We start from the raw sequence: 24789 nt of genomic DNA on the forward strand, positions 1-24789 counted from the left end.
CACCTGGCCTGCATTTTTTATACCACAATAATTTACCACATTTTCTATTAAAAGTGTGGTATTAACATGTTTTGATATCATCAATCAAGATCCTAACAGCAATCATTTTATTAATTTGTAAAAGACTAGGTAACAAATGACATACGTAAGATTCCTGAGAAATGACAAGCTAAATTTACACTGAAGTCTCCTCACTTCCTTGTTTCAATTTTTTTCCCCATCAGAAGCCCCAATACCAAAGTCAAGCAGAAACTGACATTTCTGTTCTTGCTGCCATATGCCAGATACAATTTAATAATGAAAAAAGTGGAGCCCAGTTCGAGGATGTAGAAGTAAGACCCTGTCTCAAAAAAAAAAAAAAAAAAAAAAAAAAAAAAAGACTAGAAATAAAATGTCATACCATGCAGTAGTACATGCTACAATAAAATTAAAATAAGGAATTATGACAGAAGCAAACATGGTGTTCACTTTAGATTGGGTGATCAGGAACAGCCTCTCTTAAGAGACTAGAACAGCCAAAGGAGCCAGTTATAAGTTCCGGGGAAAGAGTATTTCAGGCAGGAAAAAGAGCTAATGAAAAGTACCTGGAGGACCTTAGGAAGAATGCTCTAAATAAGGTAAGTGGTACAGTGGCTTATGTCTATAATCAGCACTTTGGGAGGCTAAGGTGGGTAGATTGCTTGAGTTCAAGACCAGCCTGGGAAACAAGGTGAAACCCTGTCTCTACAAAAAAAAAAAAATATCAAAATTACCTGGGCATGGTAGGGCACACCGGTAATCCCATATACAAAGAAGGCTAAGGTGAGAGGACTGATTGAGCCCAGGAGGTTGAGGCAGTGAGCTGTGATCATGCCACTGCACTGCAGCCTGGACAACAGAGCAAGACTCGGTCTCAAAAAAACAAGTGTTTGGGTAATAAAATTCAACAATAAGGTTGTATAACCTAGACACAGTATAACCTAGACACAGTGATTTAAGGGGATATAATTTCATATGACTGGTGTTTTAAAATCGCATGTACTAATAAACTTTTTTGGCCAGGTGCAGTGGCTCACACCTGTAATACCAACACTTTGGGAGGCCGAGGCAGGTGGATAACTTGAGGTCAGGAGTTCGAGACCACCCTGGCCAACATAGTGAAACCCCATCTCTACCAAAAAATACAAAAATTAGCTGGGTATGGTGCTGCATCCCTGTGGTCCCAGCTACTCAGGAGTCTGAGGCACAAAAATCACTTGAACCTGGCAGGCAGAGGTTGCAGTGAGCCAAGATCGGGTCACTGCACTCCAGCCTGGGCAACAGAGGGAAAACCTGCCTCAAAAAAACAAAAACAAAAAAAAAAAAACAAAAACAAACAAACACCATTTGGCCAAATTCTTAAATTATACTGGAATCTTTTACCATAGGGCTAAGATCACTAAGACAATTCTATAGCTGAAAGGGACTTTAGACATTAACTTAAAGATTAGAAAAATGAGGCTTAGAAAAGTAAAACAACTTTCTCAAAGTTACTCAGTGAAGAAAAGGCAGGGCAGGGACTTGAACCAGACTTTTGATTCCACTGACTTTCCCAATGCTCAAACTAAGGCTCCAACCTACGTTCACTGTACCCCAAACATGTGCCTCCCCTTAAAGAGAACAATTATCACTGGCTGACTCTGCACTGACTGGTCTCACAAGAGGTCTTATCAAGTGAAGGTCGTTTAGTTTCCAGCCTGAGAAGGAGCTATCCATCTCAATGTGTGCATTTAACATAATGTATTGTTGATAGTAAATACTAGAACTTGGGCTCAAAGAGCTGGATCAAATTTAAGTCAAATTGTAGTACTGCATATTCCAGCCAGTTTATAGTAAAAGGTAAACTGGTTGATAAAATTGAATTTACCATGTTAATTTTATTTTCCTCCTAGGGAATGGCATCTTTGTGAAATGGGCAATTTTAATTCCTGAAACTCTAAGAGCAGCGTGCACACTTACAGCTAATATGTAGCAGAACCTGGATTTAGTGGACTTCTGTTGACTCCAAATTTTTCATGCGTCTTTTACTTCCACTCTACAATTGTTTTTGCTTTCTCTGGTACGAAAGTGGGTGAAAGTAACATCACAGAATAATACTGTTGAATGGAAATGTCTGTGAAACAAGCTGCCAGTATATTTTCTAGCCTATGGCTTTTAAAACTTGCTCCTTTACATGTTTCAGAGCTGCTCAGTCCTACTCAAAAAGTTTGACCTTTAGCTAGGATGATGACTTTTCTTCCAGCTGAATCAAAGACATCTGACTACATGACAAAAAGCCTGCTGCCAGCCATGGGGAAAATATTTAGAGAAGAGATTATTTCCTGCACCTGATTTTCCTCTCAATCAGCAAGCTGAGAGCTTTCAAATAGTAGTTTCACCTTCATGAGCCTATCATTTTCTTACCTAAGCCCAAAGATGTCTATTTTTGCCTCTTAGTCTCAAAGTAAAAGTTTCAAAGTAAAAACAAAAAAGTTATTCTGACTGCTGTCAAAGATAAACCCAGCCAGACATTCGTTAAAGTAGTGAAAACAGATTTTATTCAGTAAACCACTGATAGTAGGGGAAAGGGCTGAGCTCAATTCTCATTTGTGCAGAGGTGACTGGCCATTTTAAAAAAGAGAGTAAGGGAGTGGCAGGGAGCCAGCCGCAAGAAGAGTCAGAGAAGAGAAACCTTAAAGTGTTGGTCAGTGTAAACGCCATACTACCTGGCAATTAGTAAGTTACTATTCTATCCTCTCACACAGACTGGGAGACAAAGCCCCTATCCCTCCTGATGATTACGTTTCAAAGAAATGGCTCTCAAAGATACTTGAAGGGACACTTCAGAGTTGGAAGAGATACATATTAACAATTGTAAGCCTGTTTCGTAAATGCTCTAAAAAGGGAACGAGAGGGGTCTATCAATTAGGTGTTGACTAGAACAAACAGTAAATTCTCCCCCTAGCTTTGAGCTTTTTCAGGCAGGCATTTTAATGGCGGGGGCGGCGGGGGGCGGCCTGGGGTCACCCTAGGGGCAGGCCTTACATTGCTAGAAGATAAACTAGTGTCGATGTCTTTCAGTGCAGAAGTTTTGACTGAGTCATCACGTCCTAGGAGTTCTGCAGTTGTCACTACCTCGGGATAGTCCTCATCTTTATTTCCCCACAACTAGCTTGCTGCCTACTTAGTGCAAACAGCTATTAGAAAGTCAACAGGTGAAGGTAAAAAATTTAAAAACTTCATTTCATTAAGAGCTATTTAGTCACCGGGCAGAAAGAAATCTGGGCTTCAGGTTTGAATATAACTTTTATTTTAAGCATCCTCAGATTCTCTCAAAGGACAGAATGAGGAAAAACAACAAAACACCCCCACAGAGATAGGACCACAATAAAAGGGTCTAAATGTCAGGGTCAAAACTGATTTTCTGCTTCCTCACTGAAAAGAAAAAGGGAAAGCCAGGCGCGGTGGCTCCCATCTATAATCTCAGCCGCCAGGGAGGCTGAGGCCGGAGGATCACTTGAGCCCAGGGGTTTGAGGCTGCTGTGAGCTCTGATCATACCACTGCACCCCAGCCTGGGAGACCCTGTCTCTTATTAAAACAAACAAACAACAAACTAAATAAAAATAAACAGGATGAGGAGGAGAAAGGGAGCAAGTTGTTAGGCACATTTGAGAAAACGTCAAAATTTTCCTTACAAACTAGCCAAACACCTACAGTGATATGCCATTTTCCTGACAAAGAATTCAGGCCCCAAAAGAAAGGCAGCCCACAACTGAGCGTATTCCCAAGCATGAGTTCTTTCAAGAAATATTTTTTTGTGGACCTTCTATGGATTAAGACACTCTTTCATCCTGGAGAGAGCCCACAGTCTAGTGGGAGAGAAAGACACATAAACAAATATCTACTTTACAGCGTGATGACCGGTATTAACACAGGTCTGAACAAGGTGCAGCGGTGAGAGAGCAAAAGCAGTGCCTCAGAAACACAGGGATATCCTCTCACAGCAGGTGACATTTGGCGGGATCTTGGAAAATGAGTAAGGGGATCCAAGATCGAATCCGAGGGCTATGCTAGGGCGATTCGATTCCATCCCCACTTTGGCTTAGGGACCTCTTCTATATCCTCAGTAAACTTCCCTTCTCAGAGCATTTATTAAAACCTCCTTGGCCTTTCCAGACGAATGTCTGGCTACGTAAACTGTGAGCTCTGTAGGGCAGAGGTGGCGACGGTTCAGTTATATAAATCCAGTGCCCGGCTCAATAAGGGTATGTGGAATGGATGAATCCATTAATGAATAAAGACAGCAGACCTCCACAAAAGCCCGCCGGCCGGGCGCCTTTTCCTACCGGCTGGGATCGCTTCGTCCAGCCTGATTCACTCAGGAGGAATGCGCGAAGAGGCCGTCAGGAAGCCTCGCCCTAGACTCAAGAAAAGAACCTGGGAAAAGCTCAGGATCCTCCCAGGAAACAAGGACCCTCACTGTGGCCCAGGGTCTGAAGGGACCGCGCTCCGGGTTCCTAAACCTGTGAAAGCGGCTTATCCCATTCCTTTACTTACATTCGCGAGGGAAAGATTTCAATTCGGTCTTTGCCCGACATTCTGACGATAACTTTTCGGCTCGGGTCCCCGGCCGGGCAACCGAGGCTGCAATAGCTCCAGAACTGGCCTCCACAGTGTCTTCCTCTACGGGAGTCAGCTGGTTGTGTCACTTGACCCCTCTTGTTGCTAAGAGGCAGCAGGGACACCCATTTTCACTTCCGCTTCCGGTTGTCACAGGCGACGAAGGGGGAGGACAGAACAGAGGCGTTGCCCGGATGTCGAGGCGCGCGCACCGCGGAACCACCCCTCAATTCCGGTTCGCCTCCCAACCCCTCCCCATCCAGCTTCCCTGCGGCTGCGCAATACGCGGCACGCGCCAGGCCAAAGACTAGGAGCGAAGCGTGCACGCCTTGTCTTTCTCCACCTTTCGTCTTTGGTCACAGCGCCATCTCATGGTTAGCTGAAACTTTGAAAGAGGATTCATTCTTCAGAGGCAAGGAATCGGAGTCCTATGTCTTTCTCGCGCCTTGAAGGTTACTTAGCTAAAGCTAAGATAGCGAGAAACAGTACTTTTCAGGTCCTTCCATGATCTACATTCGTCCTTGTTCTCGGAGGACCCAGACTCTATGGTTAATGATGAAGAGGGGCCTCTATTCGTTCAGCGCTTGCGCATGCGAGGAGGTTCCGCATGCGCGGTGGAGTGAGCGAAGCGCACGCTGAGGAGGATCGGCGGCCGGTGAGGGGGAAGCAAGTCTGGTCTCTGTGATTGAAGAAGTCGGCTCTGGGCTCCAGTGCGGGAATCACACACATACCTCAGGTGACTAATCCCAAGCTCGGTTTCTCCAGGAACTCACTTTGGTTTGTGTCCAGTGACATGGGTGTTCGAGAGCGGGTAGGCCCCGGGCTAATACCTCCCTTTCCCGTCCCTGCGCGGGAAGTGGCTGGACAGCACCGCCACCACCCGCGCTGTCGTGGGCCTCCTCGCCGGCTCCGTGTAGGTCATCCTGTGTTCCAGAGGCATCGTTGTTCGAGCAGAGGAATCTCGTGAAGGAAAGTGGGCCGAGTGGATTGTACAGCCTCTACAATATGCCGAAAGTGAGAATGCCATGACGATGGGGCGGTCTCAGGAGAACGCTGTGACACCGTAACTCTTAACCCCGGCTCAGGACGCTGAGCACTTTGCTTTTTCCAGGCTTGAGAATTCCATCTTTTCTTCCGCCCCAACAGCTCTACCAAAAATTTCCCCTGCGTCTCAGTGGAAACCAAACTGGCCTCTTACCTGAGAAACCTGTGGGACGGGCACCGTGTTGGAAAGAGCGGGGTCCGAGTAGTTTTTCATCTGATAATTGAATGAGTCACCCCTTGAACCAAAACTAAATGAGACTTGAGTTTATTACTGTTACTATCAGTTTGTCGTATTTTGGCGACAATGAGAATAGAACTGTGTTAAGCATATGTTAGGTTAACTATGTTAGTTAAGCATAACTAAAACCTAAGATAAGGATATATTTTCGGGTTAAATACACAGTCATGCTGAGGTCTCTTTATCCTCAAAACTTAGGCTTTTTAAATTTTTATTAAGCAAAAAACATGGTTTCTTCGAGAAAAAGTATAGCAGAGAAGTCTTTATTTCCCCTCAATTGAGTTGTTATTCAAGGAACAATCTCTGTCAATAGTTTGGGGGTGACTTGTACAGAACTTTGCTACCTATTCTTAGTTCATCTGGTGCCAAAAGATGTAGTTGTCTCATGCACAGTAATGTTTGTAGAGATTCGGTGATAACTTTCTTTTTCAACTATAATGATGAAATAAAAGCTTTACTTATGTAGCACTCCTATACCAAGAACTAGCATTCAGAGAGCATTCCTAATACGTGTTAGATCCAAATTAGAATTATCACGAGAGTTGTCCCCATCACATAATATATTTTGGAAAGGAATGTGAACTTCTATATCCATTATAGCAGTTTGACCATGCACTGTTTTGAGAAAGAAGTCCTACCTACCATTTGTCATGCAAAATAACTGACTATGCAGGGTATTTGAAATTAGCCTGGAGTTTGGTTGATATATTTTGAAAGGTGGCTGATACTTTTTACATCAGAACACATAAGAGTATTATAGCATGTTGTGATATTGAGGTTCTGTGGGTTAAAGACATTCTGGATTTGATGTCGGATTACTTGAGTTTAGCTCCTACGCTAGTACTTATTAAGCATTTGTTCTTAAGGAAGTATTATAATTTAGTATTTCTGTTCCACCTTTCCTGTTCATTGCTTCACTGTGCCCTTTCATAGTACTTTGTATTGTAATTATTTGCTTGCTAGTTTGTTTCCCACTCTATACTTAATTACTTAGGTAAGAGTCTTTTTTTTTTTTCTTTTTTCTTTTTTCTTTTTTTTTTTGAGACAGAGTCTCTGTTGCCCAGGCTGGAGTGTAGTGGCACGATCTCAGCTCACTGTAGCCTCTGCCCCTGGGTTCAAGGGATTCTCCTGCCTCAGCCACTATAGTAGTGGGATTACAGGTGCCTGCCACCACACCCAGCTAATTTTGGTATTTTTAGTAGAAATGGGGTTTCACCATGTTGACCAGGCTGGCCTCGAACTCCTGGTTTCAAGTGATCCACCCGCCTCGGCCTCCCAAAGTGCTGGGATTACAGGTGTGAGCCACTGCGCCTGGCCTGGTAAGAGTCTTTCTTGTTGTATCATTAGTGCTTAGTACATAGTAGCTACTGAAAAAAAAATTAACAAATTATTATATTACAAAATGGAAATACCTTCTTTTTCTTTCAATATTTTATGTTTGACTAGCACATAATGGTTTTCAAAATGTTTTTACGTATACATGTGATACCCTCAGTAAACCTGTGATGTACATGGCACAGATGAGAAACTACAGTTCAAAGGATGTTATCTTTCCCAAGCAGCCACTTCTAGTAAGTAGCAGAGCAAGGACTGGAACACAAGGCTAGAGTTGTTCCCCGAGTTTACTATGTTAATTGCCTGATTTGACACTTCTTGAGGACCAAATAAAATAAGAATGCTGTGAAAAAGATAAAGAGGTGAAGTCACCTAGTGTGACTTCGATATTGCGGAATGATTTTTTTAAGTTAAAAAAAAAATTTAAGTTATTAGCATTTCATTAGGCAATATGTTCAAAAATTGTCAACCAATATGCAGGTTTTTGTGGTATGGATTCTTTTTGTACTTAACTACTATCTATCTTTACTATGAATAACATACCATCAACAGTATTCCTTTACTTACCCTTTATGTTGCAAAGAGACTTGTGCCTCCTGAAGAAATAGTATTCATAGTCATATCCCTTCAGGATTCTCTTACATGATTGCCCATGTTTTTTAACCATCAAATTAAGCCTTGCTTCCCCTAAAAGCATCACCTTTACTGTTTGGAGAAGCTTGGTAAGTAAATGTGGTTTTCACTGGTCAAATGTCTTGCAACTGTTCCATACATTTCTGTAACATAGTTTATTTTTATGCCCAATTTGAAACTTTTTAGCTCTCAAATTTGAGAGCTTTACATACACATATTCAACAACAGTTTCCCCACCCCCACCCTCGAAAAGCCCTGTTTAAAAACGAAACAAACAGTCAGCTGTTTCTTGGTGGGTAAGGCCATTGAATGTCTACTTCTCTTTATTTGCTAAATCCCTATTTTGTAGGGATTTTGTATTCCCTACAAAGAAATACATCTCTGCTACTGTCATTAATATGCTGCTCTTTGTTGTCAAACAGATGAGTACTAATAGTTTGCACTTATTGGTGTTATGTACTCTGGCACTGAATATATATTAATGTTGCTTTTTAAGTAAAATGTTTCTAATTATAATATATTTATGAATAGTTTTGAGAGAATATAGTCTTACTGATAAGAGGACAGACTCTGGATCCAGACTTCATGGATTCAAATCCTGACTCATCACCTGTTAGCAGTATGTGAAAGAACAAGTAACTTAACCTGTGCTTCAGTTTTTTAATCTATAAAATGGGGAGAACTAGGGAGAAAGTTGTACCACAAGGAGATAGGCAATGGCCAGATCATATAGGATTCTGTAGGTAGTGGAAAGATACATAAGTCAGTGGGAAGCCACTGAGAAGATATAGGCAGGTGCCAATTAATAAGTTATTATATGAATTTTCACAAGGTTTTCTTAGGCCTTTAAGTTCTGTTACTACCTACGTTTTGAGCAGTGACAACAGTGAAGGTTAACAGAAAAACATGAAAATCATCAGCCATGATTAGTTTGAGAGCTTCCTTTTTTAAATATGCTTCTACCCAGGCTATGATTTCAGGCTTGTGGATCATAAAAGGAGTAGTGCTGAAAGTAGGTTGGGTGGATCAAAGGGAATAATTGTAAATATCTTTAATGCTTGGAGGTTAAGAGAAACTTGAACTTTGTAGTAATGGAGATTAAAGCTATTCTCAAGATTAGGTATACCTATTCAATAAAAGAAAGGAATATTTGGGAGTATTGGGGATAAGAGAAGCTAGACATTGTGAATTCAAGGAAAAAGAATTATGAGAGGAGGATGCATTTTAGTTTATTTTGTGATTAAAATTTTTTTAGTTTTTGTTGTTTTGACATGTGACACTGTAATTTTGGCTATAATAAATGACAGAATGTATCATTTGGTATATTGGTTAGGGTTTAGGTAGAAAATTTTTTCCTTTATATAGTGAGTGGTAGCGTATACAATGTTTGCTCACTTCGGCAAAGAGTAGCTTTAGTTTTCTGATTAGTTATAATAGTGATGCTTCCCATCATTTGATATGCCTTAAAGTAGTATTTTACTCTTGAGGTATTCCTTTAATCCTTAGGTCTTGGAGTACTTTATAGATGGTCATTATTTTTTATGATTCCTCTGAAACTAAAGGCAGAGAATCACCCAAGCATTACAAAAATGTTGAGCAAAATAAAAATTAAAGCTTGGTTCCTGAACATTATCTGTTTTCTGGTACCACTTAAGAAGTTTCAAAGGATGAGAAGACTAAGACTAATAACTATTTTTTTCTTCATCTTTTCTTTCAGTGGCAGGATGTGGAAATTGATTTTTTTTTTATTTTCACCTTAACTGAATACTTACTTAATTCTTTTGTTTAAATTGCAGAATGCCGGGTCTAAGTTGTAGATTTTATCAACACAAATTTCCTGAGGTGGAAGATGTAGTGATGGTGAATGTCAGATCCATTGCTGAAATGGGGGCTTATGTCAGCTTGCTGGAATACAACAACATTGAAGGCATGATTCTTCTTAGTGAATTATCCAGAAGGCGTATCCGTTCTATCAACAAACTCATCCGAATTGGCAGGAATGAGTGTGTGGTTGTCATTAGGGTGGACAAAGAAAAAGGTAAGTGAGAAAAATATCTGTAATATAAATTTCAGATTTAAAATGGTTTATTTAAAAATACATTTTTTGTAAATTGCAAGCTGCAGCTTAAAAAAAAAAGCTCCTTTTATACTTAAACCTTTTACATACAAAGTTGTTAGAAAAGGATGCCAATTAGCTATCTAAGCAAGATCTCTTAATAGTAGTTTAATTAGTACATCCTAGGATTTTATGGATCAGATAACTTGAATTTTATTTCTAGTGTTTATCAGGATCTTGATAATTGACTCATGGTAACCAAACTTAGAGACAGGTAAGTCAGAGTACTAGTTCATTTACATTGGTAGGCCTGAATATGTTGGATGCCTTTTTCTTGATTTAAAGCTAAAATAGTAATGAGATCACTGGGTAAGCATGAAAATGGGGCAAATGGATTTTAGGGATCTTTTATATAAGCTTTGAAAAAGCAATATACTATGCGTGTATATACACACCTGAAATCCAACATTGTATATCTTGCTGGTAATTAGAATGTTTGCATCTACCAGATCTCGTGGTATCTTTCAGACAGTTTTGGATGAGCATTCATTTTTTACTTATTGGATGCCTTTTCTGGGCCCCATGTAAATCATCACCTTTGTGAATACTCTTTTTTTAAACATGGTGTACAATACCATTACGTAGGTTTTAGTTTCAGCCATCTTACTATAATTTGTTAGGTGTTAGTTTTAGGTCATTAGTTACCATCATGTCCGAAAGGCTTCATATCAGTCACCTTGATTCAACTTACCCTTCTGAATCTCCTCAGCCGTCTGGTTTACTGATACTTTCTCACTTCTGCAAGTGATTAATTTTATACATACTGACATTTTAATTTTTTTTATTATAGCCTTAGATGATACATAGATTTTGAGGATGTCTTATGCCTTAGGTAGTGACTGCTACTTAGCACATGGATTGTTTTAAATGTTTTGCTATGACTTAGCTATAGCCCCGCCCAAAATTATTAAACTACTTTGAGACTATTTGTTAAACTTAGGTAAGTCTTCACATCACTGTCCTAGTAGTACCTAAAGTAGTGTCTAATCTTGTACTTTTTTTTTTTTTTTTTAAGAATTGGGGTCTTGCTCTGTCACCCAGGCTGCAGTGTAGTGGTATGATCATAGGTCGCTGCAGCCTTGAACTCCTGTGTTCAAGTGTTCCTCAAGCAGTCCTCCCAAGTAGCTGGAACTACAGGCATGTGCCACCCTGCCCAGCTAACTTTCTTTGTAGAGATGGGGTCTTGCTGTGTTGCCCAGGCTAGTCTTGAACTGGGCTCAAGCGATTCTCCTGCCTTGGCCTCACAAAGTACTGGGATTACAGGTGTGAGCCACTGTGCTCAGCCTTCTTTTTCTATTGTATAAAATATACACAAAAGGAGGAATCAAATATGTTTTTAGTTGCAATCAGAAAAAATATGGAATGGCATACTTGCTTACGTACAGTAGATACATGTAAAGATATTTCCATAGCATTTGTTTGTATGGCATTAACTAAAACCAGGAAATGACCAAAATGGGGACTGGTTAAATAAATCAGTACAAATGCGTGCAATGCAATTTTATGCAGAATGAGATCTGAATATTTTGATATGGAAGATCTCCAGGATAGGATGAGAAAAAGCAAAGTGCAAAAGAGCCTGTAGAGAGGATTCATTTTGATACTAGAGAATTATGTCCTCCTAGACAAGCCTTTCAACGTAAATGCCATAAACCCTGAACAAGTATGAAAAATAACTACCTAAAGACAATGAGAAGCAGCCAAAAGCAGGCCAAAATTGAAAATTTGAAGGTGAGTCGACACTTATAAGAAAGGGTATGTTTTCTGTTTTACACCTTTTTTTTTGACCTAAGTACATGCTGAAGACAGCTTCAAGCCAGGCAGCTAAGGTTCTAGCAGAAAATTTATGGTCTTATTGGCTTTAGAACTGGAGGCGAGAGTTGTAGACAACCATAGTAGATGGAAACTGGTGGTGATAGTGGTGAGGGTTAGAGAAAGGAGGCGGCAGGCACAAAGGGAGATCCCCTAAGTCTATATAAATTCTTCCCAAATCTCTGGTTTGTCCCTGAACTACTGAAACACAGGGTGGACTCCAGGTAGCCTAATAGGGGAAAAATCTGAACAGATTTCAGTTGCTTACCATCTGGGGAGACAGAGCTTATAGTTTTGAGTTCAGATTCTGACTGCCTGCTAAAACAAAAAATCTATATTCTCTTTTTTTGGGGGATGGAGTCTCACTCTGTCGCCAGGCTGGAGTGCAGTGGCACGATCTTGGCTCACTGCAACCTCCGACTCCCTGGTTCAAGCAATTCTCCTGTCTCAGCCTCCAGAGTAGCTGGGATTACAGGCACACACCACCATGCCCAGCTAATTTTTGTATTTTTGGTAGAGACAGGGTTTCACCATGTTGGCCAGAATGGTCTTGATCTCCTGACCTTGTGATCCACCCGCCTTGGCCTCCCAAAGTGCTGGGATTACAGGCGTGAGCCACCACGCCCCACCCCATCCAGGTCACTTTGTGCTAAGTGTTCTACACTTGGTCAGCATTCTCATAAATACGGTGCATGGAATGGAACACGGTGGGCACGTTGCGTGAACTCACAAATTCAAGACCAGCTGGGGCAACATGGCAAAACCTCATCTCTACAAAAAATACAAAAATTAGCTGGGCGTGGTGGTGCACCCTGTAGTCCCAGCTTCTCGGGCGGCTGAGGTAGGGGGATGGTTTGAGCCCAGGAGGCGGAGGCTGCAGTGAGCCAAGATTGCACCGCTGCACTCCAACCTGGGTGATAGAACCAGACCTTGTCTCAAAAAAAAAAAAGAGAGAGGTGAAGGAAGTTCTTTAAGCTGAAGAGATGTGATGACCTGACATGGAAAATATATAGGTAAATGTAAAAGACTATTTTTGCCCTTCTTAGTTTCTTTAAAAATATATTTAACTATTTGTCTCATTTGTGCCTGTGGGATTGTAATCTATAGAGGTGACTGAGTGATGACACAGTCCAATGCCCTTGAAAGAAAACTTTTACTACTTATATTGCCTGAGAGAAGGGGGCTTGATGTGCCATGCAGGGCCACATGGGGAAGCACCAGTTTTAGTCAGGAGTCACAAGGAACTAGGGGAAAAAGTAGGTCAGAGCTTTTGTTGGAGTTTCTGCAGGAAAAGCAAGGCAGAGCAGCGTAAACGGCTTGCAGTTGGCTAGTTTGAATGCTTTTGGCGGGCCTTGGGGCATAAAGACTGCCCTGCTTGTCTAATACCTGGCCCTTGACTTACAGCAGGGAGAATTTTGGCTTGGTGTATGAGTTTATGGGCTCCAGATTGGCTGCTCTGCATAAGAAAGGCATGCTACCAAGCAAGCCCTTTGCTGACTCCTCCCCACCTGACGGAGGGGCAGTCTCTCCACAAATGTCAGAGCCTCAAGAATACAGAAAATAAGAAAATATTTAGTTACTACTAATAATATTAATAATAAAATATATAGTTAATACAGTTGGCTCTGTGATTAATGGATGCCAAGTAGTTAAATATAGAAGCTAAGAAAACAGAATACTGTTTAAAGCAGGCTTAGTACACTTGACAACTTAATCACAAAGGCCAGGAGGTGTGGGGTAAATAGATCTATATGATTCTTAACGATTCTTACATTTTATGTGCAGTAGTAAAATTAAAAGGTTAAGGATGTATATTGTAAATTCTAGAACAACCATTAAATAAGCCAGTTGCAGTGGTCTGTGCTTGTAGTCACAGCTGTTCGGGAGGCTGAGGTGGGAGAGTCACTTGAGGTCAGTAGTTCAAGACCAGCCTGGGCAACATAGTGAAACTATCTCTAGAAATAAGTAAGTAAAATACAAAATACACTATTGTAAAAGCCAAAGATATATTAAAATGGAATTCTAGAAAACATTAACCTAAAAGAAAACTCAAAAGAAAAAAACAAAAACCAGAAAGAACAAATAGAAAACAAATACCTAAAATGTAGGTATTCAATTATTCAGTTATTGATACAACTGAATTCATTTATATCAGTAATTAAATGTAAATCAAGTAAATATTCCAGCTAAAAGGCAGAGATTGTTAGGATGAATTAAAAAGCAAGACTCGACGATAATCCTGTCTACAAGAGATATACTTGGTTGAAAATAAATGGATATAAAAAGATATGCTATGCAGACAATACCTTAAGGAGACAGTGTCTATTAATATTAGATAAAGTAGATTTAAAGACATAGTATTTTCAGATTTAAACAGGGACATTTTGTAATGATAAAGGGTCAATTTGTTAGAAGGAAAACAACAGTCATCACTGTGTATGTGCCTAATAATAGAGTTCAAAATATAAAGCAGAAATTGAATTCAAGAGAGAAATAGACAAATCTATAATCATAGTTGGAAGTTTGAACAAGCTCTGAACAATTGGAGAAACAATTAGATCAATGAAGACCTTGACTTGTTTGATACCTAGAACACTGCACCCAGAAAAGGCAAAATACACATTATTTTCAAGTGTGCATGACATTCACCAAGATAGACAATAAGGTGAGCTATAATATTAATACAACTCTAAATAAATTTCTAAGGGTTGGAATACAAATATGTTCTCTGATCACACTGGAAGTAATTTTGAAATCAGTGTCATATCTTGGGAGGGAAGAGTTTGCAGTATTAAATAAGCCCTTCCAAATAATTCATATATTAAAGCCTTAAGGGAAAATTTATAGCTTTAATTACTTATATTAGAAAAGAATAAAGATCTAAAACAGTTATCTAGGCTTTTGTTTTAGAAGATAAAAGAAAGGAAAGGTAAACTCAAAGTTGCTGAGACCAGCTCTGTTGGGGAGACCCTAACCCAGAGGCGCTAGAGGAATTAAAGACACACACACACAAATATAGGGGTGTGAAGTGGGAAATCAGGGGTCTCACAGCCTTCAGAGCTGAGAGCCCCGAACAGAGATTTACCCACATATTTATTAACAGCAAACCAGTCATTAGCATTGTTTCTATAGATACTAAATTAACTAAAAGTATCCCTTATGGGAAATGAAGGGATGGGCCGAATTAATTGCAGCAGGAACACGTCCTTAAGACACAGATCACTCATGCTTTTGTTTGTGGCTTAAGAATGCCTTTAAGCAGTTTTCTGCCCTGGGCGGGCCAGGTGTTCCTTGCCCTCATTCCTGTAAACCCACAACCTTCCAGCTTGGGCGTTAGGACCATTATGGACATGTCGCAGTGCTGCAGAGATTTTGTTTATGGCCAGTCTTGGGGCCAGTTTATGGCTAGATTTTAGGGGGCTTTCTCCCAACACAAAGTAAGTAGAAGAAAAGAAATAATAAGGATAAGATAATCGGTGAAAATAGAGTACCAGAAAATCAGAGAACAGTATCAAAGTTAAAAACTTGTTTTTTGTTTTTTTAAAAAAGAGCAAAATTGATAAACCCCTAGTTAGGCTGATGAAGAAAAGGAAATAACACAAATTACCAATCTGGAATGAGAATGGGGCTATCACTGCAGATGCTACAGACATTAAAAGGCTAATAAGGGAATATCATTACCAATTTTATGCCAATCATCTCAACAAATCAGGTGAAATTAGTGAATTCCTTGCAAAATTTTACTTACTGAAACTGACCAATATAAAATAGAAATTTTGAGTGTCCTATATGTTAGAGAAATTGAATTTATTGTAAAAAATCTTTTCATCAAGAAAATTCGGTCCTGACCAGCACAGTGGTTCATGTCTGTAATTCCAGCACTTTGGGAGGTTGAGGTGGGCAGATTGCTTGAGCCCAGGAGTTCAAGACCAGCCTGGAAACATGACGAAACCTCATCTCTACAGAAAGTAGAAAAATTACCCAGGCATGGTGTTGTGCACCTCTAGTCAGTTCCAGCTACTAGAGAAGCTGAGGTTGGAGGATTGCTTGAGGCCAGGAGAACAAGTCTGCAGTAAGCCGAGGTCATGCCACTACACTCCAGCCTGGGTGACTAAGACCCTGTCTCAAAAAAAAGGAAAACTCTAGGCCAGATGGTTAAATTGATGAGTTGTATCAGACATTTAAGGCAGAAATAAGATGAGTCATAATAAAATTTCAGAAAGTTAAGGAGGTAGGCCAGGCACGGTGGCTCACACTTATAATTCCAGCAATTTCGGATGCTGAGACAGGAGGATCGCTTGAGGTCAGGATTTCAAGACCAGCCTGGCAATATAGGGAGACCCCATCTCTATAAAAATTTTAAAAAATTAGCTGGGTGTGGTGGTGTGTACCTGTAAAGTAGTTCCAGCTACTTGGGAGGCTGAGGTGGGAGGACGGCTTGAGCCCAGGAGTTTGAGGCTGTAGTGAGCTGTGATCACACTGCTGTATTACAGCCTGAGCAACAGAGCAAGACTGTCTCCCACCAAAAAAAAAAAAGTTAAGGAGGCGGGAACACTTTCGAAATACAGTCATGTGGTGCTTAATGACAAAGATACATTCTGAAAAATGTCTTATCATGCAAATTTCATAGAGTGTGCTGCTTACATAGACCTTATAGCCTATACACACATAGGTTGTTTAGTATACTCTATTATTCCTAGGCTACAAACCTGTACAGCATGTTACTATACTGATTAGGTAGTTGTAACACAATGGTAAATATTTGTGTACCTAAACACAGAAAAGATACAGTAAAAATACAGTATTATAATCTTAACAGCACTGCTGCTATATATGCAATCTATTGTTTACTGAAATGTTATGCAGTGCATGACTAATTTTATGAGGCCATCATAACCCTGATAAGAAAACCCAACAAAGACATGTTTTTGTAAAAAAGCAAATTACTGACCAAATATGTGATTAGCATAGATAAAACAATTAATATGTTTTTCAAATCCAACAATGTATAAAAAGGATAATAAAGCATGACCAAGTGGAGTGTATGGAATGCCAGTTTGGTTTAACAGTCATAACTTTATGTTGGCTGGGCATGGTGGCTGAGGCCTGTAATCTCAGCACTTTGGGAGGCCTAGGTGGGGGGATCACTTGAGCCCAGGAGTTCGAGACCAGCCTGGGCAACATAGCAGGACCTCACCTCTTTTGTTATCTCTCACTTCTTTTTATTTAAAAAAAAAATTAAAAAATTTATGTGTGCTTTTATATGATCAGTTAATTAACAAAAGTACAAAGGCAGCTGATCAAAGAAAAAATTATCTTTTTAACAAATGGTGCTGGGACAACTGGATGTCCATATGCAAAAAAGAACCTCAATTCAAACACCTCACCTTATACAAAAGTTAGCTTAAAATGAATCATAGATGTAAACTTCTAAGTACCTCTAGAAGAAAACAGGAATCTTTCTGACCTTGGATTAGGCAAAGATTTCTTAGATAGCACACTAAAAGCGTTATCCATGAAAGGAAAAATTGATTAATTGGACCTTATCAAAATTAAGAACTTATGTTCTTTAAAGACACTATAAAGAGAATAAAAAGACAAACCAGCATATTTTAAAAACTCTTGAACAACCTAAAAAATCCTGTATCTAGGCTGGGAGCGGTGGCTCACGCCTGTTATCCCAGCACTTTGGGAGGCCAAGGTGGGCAGATCATGAGGTCAGGAGATTGAGACTATCCTGGCCAACATGGTGAAACCCCGTCTCTACTAAAATATAAAAAATTAGCGGGCATAGTGGTGCGTGCCTGTAGTCCCAGCTACTCAAGAGGCTGAGGCAGGAGAATCACTTGAACCCAGGAGGCAGAGGTTGCAGTGAGCGGAGATTGCCCCACTGCACTCCAGCCTGGCGACAGAGCAAGACTCCATCTCAAAAAAAAAAACAAAAAACAAACAAAAAAACCCTGTATCTAAACCATCAATTTTTAAAGGAGCGAAAGTTTTGAATAGACACTTTGCCAGAGAAGATAATTGGATAGCAAATATGCACATGAAAAGATGTTGAACATCATTAGTCATTAGGAAAATGCAAATAAAAACCACAGTGAGATGCCACTGCACAATCAATAGATTGACTTTTTAAAAATCAATTGAGAGACATGGAGCAGTTCTAACTGCTCCACATTGCTCATGGGAATGCAGAGTGCCACATTCACTTTGGGAAAGTTTGGCAGATAAAATTAACATGTACTTAATATATAACCCAGCTGTGCCATTTCTAGGAAAATTTATGTTCACAGAGAAACTTGTGTCCAGTTTTTAGTGGCTTCAGGGGTGATGGAACTTGATTTTGGTGGTGGTTAAATGACTGTTCTTTTTTTTAAACACAAAGAACTTAACACTAAAAGTGGTGAATTTTACTATATGTAAGTCATACAATTTTTAATGAAAAAGAATGCTCAGAATCTGAAATAAAATCAGTGTATATGAACAGAATATAGGAGGAAAACTACAACCAATTTAATAGATGTGAAAGGGCATTTGACAAAATTTGTCACCCATTCATAATAAGTCAGCAAACAAGAACTAAAAGGGAATTTCCTAATCTGATAAAGAGTGTCTAGAAAAACACCACAGACATGCTGTCCTCCAGTATTGAGAACAAGACATTCACTCTCACCACTGTTACTCAGCATTGTACTGGAAGTCATTGCCAGGCACAGGTTTGTAGGTTTCAGCCATTTTTGGCTATTTGACGTTGACAAGTTACTTAACCTTTCATGGGTTTTAGTTTCTTCAGGTTAAAAAGACTGGGGGGCGCTGTGGGAAAGAGAGTGATAATCTACCATGCAGGATTGTTGTGAGGGTTCAAGAAGATGTTTAAGCACCTAACATAGTTACTTGTATATGGTAGTCATACAGTAGATTAGATAGTTTTAATTTGTTCAGTGTGTGTGTGTGTGTGTGTGTGTGTGTGTGTCTTCTGTGACGATAGCCTCTTTCCTTAAACTAAATGAACATCTTAGTGAATTTTCCTATTCTGGAGAAGGAAAAGGAAGAAATAGGGGAAAGATAGGCATTTGACTACCTTTCATTTGGATAATTGAAAATTATTAGTTCTCTCCAGTAAGGTAATGGAATATATATAATTACCTGATAATAAAAATTTATTTCTGAAAACAATTCAGAATCTCTCATCTTGTACAGATTGAGTATCCCTTATCCCCAAATCCAAAATGCTCCAAAATCTGAAACTTTTGAGCACCAACATGACACTCAAAGGAAATGTTCATTGGAGCATTTCAGATTTTGGATTTTCAGATTCGGGATGCTCTAACTAGTAAATACATTGCAAATATTCCAAAATCTGAAATCCAAAACACTTTTGGTCCCAAGCATTTCTGATGAGGGATACTCAGCCTTGTAATACTTATGCAGTATTTTGTTGATAGGATTTTAGTAGGAAATAATTATAAGTATGCCAATCAAACACTTAATTTGGTCTTCAAAGCTGGTTACAATAGTACAGTGGCATCTGGACAGAGATGATTTTTTCACAATTTTTTTGTACAGGATATATTGATTTGTCAAAAAGAAGAGTTTCTCCAGAGGAAGCAATCAAATGTGAAGACAAATTCACAAAATCCAAAACTGTAAGTTGATCTTTGAGTCAAATTAGTCCACTATCTGTGTGTTTAATAAATAATTTGAAATCTTAATTTCATACTGCTACTACCTTAAAGTATTGCTTATGATCTAATATTCTCAAATTAGTACTAGAAGTGTTTTGAAGCCGTTTTAGGTTAAATTAACTGTGGGTGACTTCAACTGCTTTAACTTGTTTACAGTTGGAATGCCTCATAAAATACGGGGTTTTTTTGTTTGTTTAAATAGAAATGAGGTCTTTCTATTTTGTCCAGGTTGGTCTCAGACCCTGAGCTTCAAGTGATCCTTGAGCCTCAGCCCTCCAAAGTGCTGGGATTACAGAAGTGAGCCAATGCACTTGGCCAAAATACAGTTCTTGATTTTCAACCCTGTTCTGGGATGAGGGTAACGGAGACAACCAGCTGTTATATGTTAAGAATGAACAGGGGTTTATAAAATGTCTGTGAATCCAGGAAAGCAAGGCAGAGGCCTGTTACTAGTTTTGGTTTTTTTCCCCCTCCACTAGCGTGTTAGGATTATTTCTTTTTGCATTCTTATTTTTGCTATTACTTCCTGCTTGTCATCCACAGTAAGCAGCAGCAAAGCAAAGATAGCCATTTAATTTCTTCTGTCAGTATTTCTCTTTTCTCAGGTCCTGTTTAAGTTATCCTTCATCCTCTACATCCTCAGTTCTGTGTGTGTGTGTGTGTGTGTGTGTGTGTGTGTGTGTGTGTGTGTGTGTGTCACAAAGTCTTTCCCAGACTGGAGTGTAGTGGCGCAATCTCAACTTACTGCAACCACCTCCTCCTGGGCTCAAGCGATCCTCTCGCCTCTGCCTCCCGGAATGTTTGAGATTACAGGCGTAAGCCAGTGTGCCCAGCCTATCCTCAGTTCTTAGTGGTACTGTTTGTATTGCTTCTGTTTTCTTTGCCCTTCTCTGGTGTCTGTTCTTTTCTGCCATGAGTGTTTCTGTCCTCAAGATAAAATATCAAAAAAAAAAAAAAGTTTCAATGAAGAGATTTTAAAAAATCTTGCTTAATCCCAGTAAGAGAGAAAATAAAGGTCTAAAAGCCATCAGTTACCCAAATCATTTCCTTTGTTTTACTGATGTATTTACAGTTATGCAGTGTGGTTTACACATTTGAAAACACTGTCAGTAAAATATCTTCTTAATAAACTCTAGGACCTTACCACTTAGAATGTAGTCTCTAAACTAGCAGCATTGACATCACCTGTTTTTTTAGAAATACAGACTCTCAGGTCCTACTAACTTTTGAGAAGCACTTTTCTGGGAAAATTTCATATTTTTTTGTCTCCTTAGGATATTGTTAAAATGAGTGTGTTAATAGATCTTATTGAGATGTTAAAATGGAAGAGTTATTCAGTGTCAGTACCTTTTCTCACTCAATTTTTATGTGTAACTATGATGAAGACCTTAATACTTTTTGTCTACACCCTGTTAATTTTAGGAGGTAAGAAAAAGTTTGGCAGGTGGGTAAGATGACAGAAAAAAAATTTTTTTTATCGTGATTCTCTCCTCAGGGAGTAATAATAACAACTTGTATTTGTATAGCCGTTTTCCATTTATAGTGTGTGGTTTCTATATATTTGATCTATGCGAGCACTCTGTAGTAAGGAGAGATGCTAGTTTCTTCTTTTTCCAGAGGAGGAAACAAGTTCAGAGATACTGTGTTACTGTCAAGACTTGATCCAGGTCTTAGGACCCTAAATTGTATACTATCTCTACTTTTTATACCCACTTAAAGTGAGTATTTCCCTATGGAGATCTTTTATTGTTAAGGAATTATTGTAGCCAAATTATGTTATTTACTAAAATGTAAAAACATTTTTTATAAATCTCTTATCTTTGAATTGTTGAGCTTTTCATTTTATTTCTAGGTTTATAGCATTCTTCGTCATGTTGCTGAGGTGTTAGAATACACCAAGGATGAGCAGCTGGAAAGCCTATTCCAGAGGACTGCCTGGGTCTTTGATGACAAGTACAAGAGACCTGGATATGGTGCCTATGATGCATTTAAGCATGCAGTCTCGTAAGAATACCTTCTTGACTCTCCTTCTACCTTGATATCACAACTCTTGGCCTGATATTTAACAGCATAGCATCCATGTATAAAATACTTGCCAAATTTAGATTAAAATATTTTGTATTGGCCAGTAAATGGGCCAATCCTATATGGTCAAGTCTGTGTAGTTTTATGTATCATAGTTATGTAGATTCATAAACCATATGGTTTATCTCACACATTTTCCTTTCCTAGTTATTGTCCTAAGTGGCTATGGGACTAAAGAGCATGTCTCACCAAAAACTATAACCTCTTGTTTTCTCTACCTCTTTTGACTCTCCTTTGACTTTCAGCCCACACCACTTTAGCCAGTCTTCCATGTAGCCTTAGCCTGGGCCTTACTATCACCGGGATTTGCTCTGCCACTAAAATCTTTAATTCACACTTTCTGTTCTTTTGCCCCTGCCTCCTATTCATCTAGCTCCCAGTTGGTCCTATTATTTGTCATCTTAATTCTGTATGTTAGGATCTGATTCCAAACCTTTTTTCTCCCTGTCTTTTCGCCATTTCCTGCCTTTTCTCTCTTATCCAACATAGGCACACCATGATACATCATTTTAACGACTTTGTTGCCATTATTGTGAGCTTTTGCCTTGTTTTTCCTTCCATCCATCCAGCCTTGGATCAATGTTCCTGCCTTCTCTGTACTTGTAGACTGCTGGGTGCTACTAGGAAAAATCAGTCTTGCAGGTTGGTCCACTGCATATTCATGGTCTCCAGCCTCAGCTGTTCCACATTCTCTCTGCTCCTGGTCAGTTCTTCAGTAGTGGCTATTTTAGAGCTTTTCCACGTTCTTCCTCAGAAAACCACTCTATCCCTGCTCCCTGCCTCTTGGCTGGTATGCTCACTACCTATTTTATTTTATAAAGAAAATAGAAACCATTGCACAAGAACTACTTTTCCACTGTCTCAACAAACTTACATATCTCTGTCCCACCTGTCATTTCTTCCTATGCTGCTGTCACTGGAATTTGTGTCCTAATTGCTCTCAAACTAGTCTTGCCACCTATGCCCAGCTGCTGCTCAGAGATCTCTATTAGTTACTTTTTCTCTTGGGTCACCTTTCCCTTTATTGCTTTTACTCCATCAGCATAAAAATATCTCTAGTTTCTTCCATTTATACTATAAAACCCACTTCTCAACTTTTCCTTTACTTTCTCTTGGAGCAAACACTGCGTCCTCTGCTTTTAACAGCCACACTTGGCTATGTGTGGTAGCTCATGCCTGTAATCCCAGCACTATGTAAGGCTGAGGTGGGAGGATTGCTTGAGGCCAGGAGTTGGAGACCATCCTGGGCAGCATAGCAAGACTGCCATCTCTAAAAAAAAAAAAAATTAAAAGTAGCCAGGTGTGGTAGCATTTGCCTGTAGTAGTCCCAGCAACTTGGGAGGCTGAGGCAGGAGGATCACTTGAGTCCAGTGGTTTGAGGTTTCTGTGAGCTGTGATTTGTGATTGCACCACTGCACTCTAGTCTGGATGACAGAGTGAGACCTTGTCTCTTAAAAAAAAAAAAAAAGCCAGACTCTTTCAGTTCTCTATACTTGCTGTCTCTTTACCTCCCACTCCTTCCTAAATGTTAAGAGTTAGAGGGGGGAAAAAAGAGAATGAGTAGGACCCAAGACCATTAAGAGTCCCCCAGAAAGCCAACTCATCTGGGGTTCCAAATCCCTTCAAGTTTATTCTCATGTGACTTTTTTTTTTTTTTTTTTTTTTTGGTATATCACGTGGTAGAAAAGGTGGGAATAGTAATAATGATAACTAACATTTATATAATTCTAACAACAACCTGTGGTATAAATGCTATTATTATCCTTTTCTTACAGTTGAAGAAACTGAAGCTGAGATTAAATAATTTGTTCAAGGTCACACAGCTAACAAATCATAGAGCCAGGCAGTATTCAAACGCGTGCATTCTGGCTCCATCCAGAGTTTGCACTATTAGCCATTAAACACAACTTTATATTTCTGTCCTGCAGTCCTCAGTACATTTCTTAACTTGTCTCAACTGTCATCATCTGGCTTCTTTAGTTACCTCTTTAACTTCTAGTTCCAGCAACCCCTTGTTACCACTAAACCTTGGCGTGTGTTATTCCCTTTTCCTTAGCACTCTTTTCTTGCTTCATTCATGTAGGGACTGTCCAGATTTAACTAATGCTAGTTCTTTGCATTTTTCTTTTAATTACATAAAATTTCTGACATAGTTGGAAACAATGTTTTACCTTTCCAGACCTATTTTCCTCACTTATCAGTGATAACCACTATTCTGAAATTATGTATCAATATCATTTGTTTTTATTGTTTTACTACATATGTGTCTATTATCATTTTTTATTTAAAATGTAACCTATTGTATCTTTTTGTAGCTTGCATTTTTACATATAAGCCTATTATTAAGCAGGATTCCCCCACAATGATAGATGTATACTTGATCCATATTAATCTCTATATAGTATTTCATTGTGAGAATATGCTTTATCTGTTCCTCTATTAAGAGTTGTTTAGGTAATTTTCCCTTCTGTGCCATTTGTCAAACAGGGCTGTGATGAATAGTGTATGTGTCTCTATATGTAGTTGTTTGAGAGTTTCTAATATATATGCCTAGGAGTGGAATTGTTGGGTCATAGGATTGATTATATATCTTTAAACTGACTTGGTTTCACCAAATCCTTGCCACAATTTGGTATATATCTGATTTTTTCTCCTTTTTCTAGTCTAATGAATTCACAGTAGTATCTTTTGATTTGCATACTCCTGATTGTTGGAGAGGTCAACAGTTTTTCATGTTTCTTAACCATTTGTATTTCTTCTGTGAAACATCTGTTCACCTCATTTGCCCATTTTCTGTTTATCATCTTGTTTCTTATACATTTATGTTGGTTGTCTTCTCGTTACTTTATGTTAGCTGAGTAAAAGTTCCCTCCACCCAAATTCTCTTGCCTTTTATTCCCAATAAGACCCCTTGCTTATTAAGCCTGATGCTTGCTCATGCTATTCCTTTTTTACATGACATAACTTTCTTTTTTTCTTTTTCTTTTTTTTTTTTTTTTTTGAGACGGAGTCTCGCTCTGTCGCCCAGGCTGGAGTGCAGTGGCGGGATCTCGGCTCACTGCAAGCTCCGCCTCCCGGGTTCACACCATTCTCCTGCCTCAGCCTCCCAAATAGCTGGGACTACAGGCGCCCGCCACTACGCCCGGCTAATTTTTTGTATTTTTAGTAGAGACGAGGTTTCACCGTTTTAGCCGGGATGGTCTCGATCTCCTGACCTCGT

The 24789-nt window shown here is 39.3% G+C and overlaps 3 protein-coding genes across 3 annotated transcripts in view, besides 5 other annotated features; 2 read left to right on the forward strand and 1 right to left on the reverse strand.

Annotated features, from left to right (window-relative positions):
- Window positions 1-4702, reverse strand: part of ATP6V1D (ATPase H+ transporting V1 subunit D) — a 21933-nt gene extending 17231 nt beyond the window's left edge. Inside the window, exon 1 of the mRNA NM_015994.4 lies at window positions 4556-4702. Within this exon, the coding sequence (NP_057078.1) occupies window positions 4556-4596 (41 nt within the window). The 5' untranslated portion in view covers window positions 4597-4702. The remainder of the gene's footprint in view (window positions 1-4555) is intronic.
- GPHN (gephyrin) overlaps window positions 1-24789 on the forward strand; it is a 1227209-nt gene that overhangs the window by 846956 nt on the left and 355464 nt on the right. The window lies entirely within an intron of this gene.
- Window positions 3813-4599: an enhancer, noted in NCBI's record as "H3K27ac hESC enhancer chr14:67825632-67826418 (GRCh37/hg19 assembly coordinates)". NCBI's record gives its function as "activates a minimal SCP1, AML or CMV promoter by ChIP-STARR-seq in primed H9 embryonic stem cells {active_cell/tissue: H9 hESC(primed)}" and the evidence as "EXISTENCE:reporter gene assay evidence [ECO:0000049][PMID:30033119]".
- Window positions 3813-4661: a biological region, named in NCBI's record as "H3K27ac hESC enhancer GRCh37_chr14:67825632-67826418".
- Window positions 4442-4661: an enhancer, noted in NCBI's record as "active region_8577". NCBI's record gives its function as "activates an Ori minimal core promoter by ATAC-STARR-seq in GM12878 lymphoblastoid cells {active_cell/tissue: GM12878}" and the evidence as "EXISTENCE:reporter gene assay evidence [ECO:0000049][PMID:35858748]".
- Window positions 4682-5481: an enhancer, noted in NCBI's record as "active region_8578". NCBI's record gives its function as "activates an Ori minimal core promoter by ATAC-STARR-seq in GM12878 lymphoblastoid cells {active_cell/tissue: GM12878}" and the evidence as "EXISTENCE:reporter gene assay evidence [ECO:0000049][PMID:35858748]".
- The window catches only part of EIF2S1 (eukaryotic translation initiation factor 2 subunit alpha), a 26189-nt gene continuing 6625 nt past the window's right edge, over window positions 5226-24789 (forward strand). The window contains exons 1-4 of the mRNA NM_004094.5: window positions 5226-5354; window positions 9665-9906; window positions 19366-19445; window positions 21337-21488. Of these exons, the coding sequence (NP_004085.1) occupies window positions 9666-9906; window positions 19366-19445; window positions 21337-21488 (473 nt within the window). The 5' untranslated portion in view covers window positions 5226-5354; window position 9665. The remainder of the gene's footprint in view (window positions 5355-9664; window positions 9907-19365; window positions 19446-21336; window positions 21489-24789) is intronic.
- Window positions 11975-12144: an enhancer, noted in NCBI's record as "experimental_36264 CRE fragment used in MPRA reporter constructs". NCBI's record gives its function as "activates a minimal promoter by MPRAs in K562 erythroleukemia cells, with activity observed for both the introgressed and non-introgressed 14:67833879 variant alleles {active_cell/tissue: K562}" and the evidence as "EXISTENCE:reporter gene assay evidence [ECO:0000049][PMID:34662402]".

The sequence above is a fragment of the Homo sapiens genome, chromosome 14 (assembly GCF_000001405.40).
Source record: "Homo sapiens chromosome 14, GRCh38.p14 Primary Assembly".
NCBI classification, from domain to species: domain Eukaryota; kingdom Metazoa; phylum Chordata; class Mammalia; order Primates; family Hominidae; genus Homo; species Homo sapiens.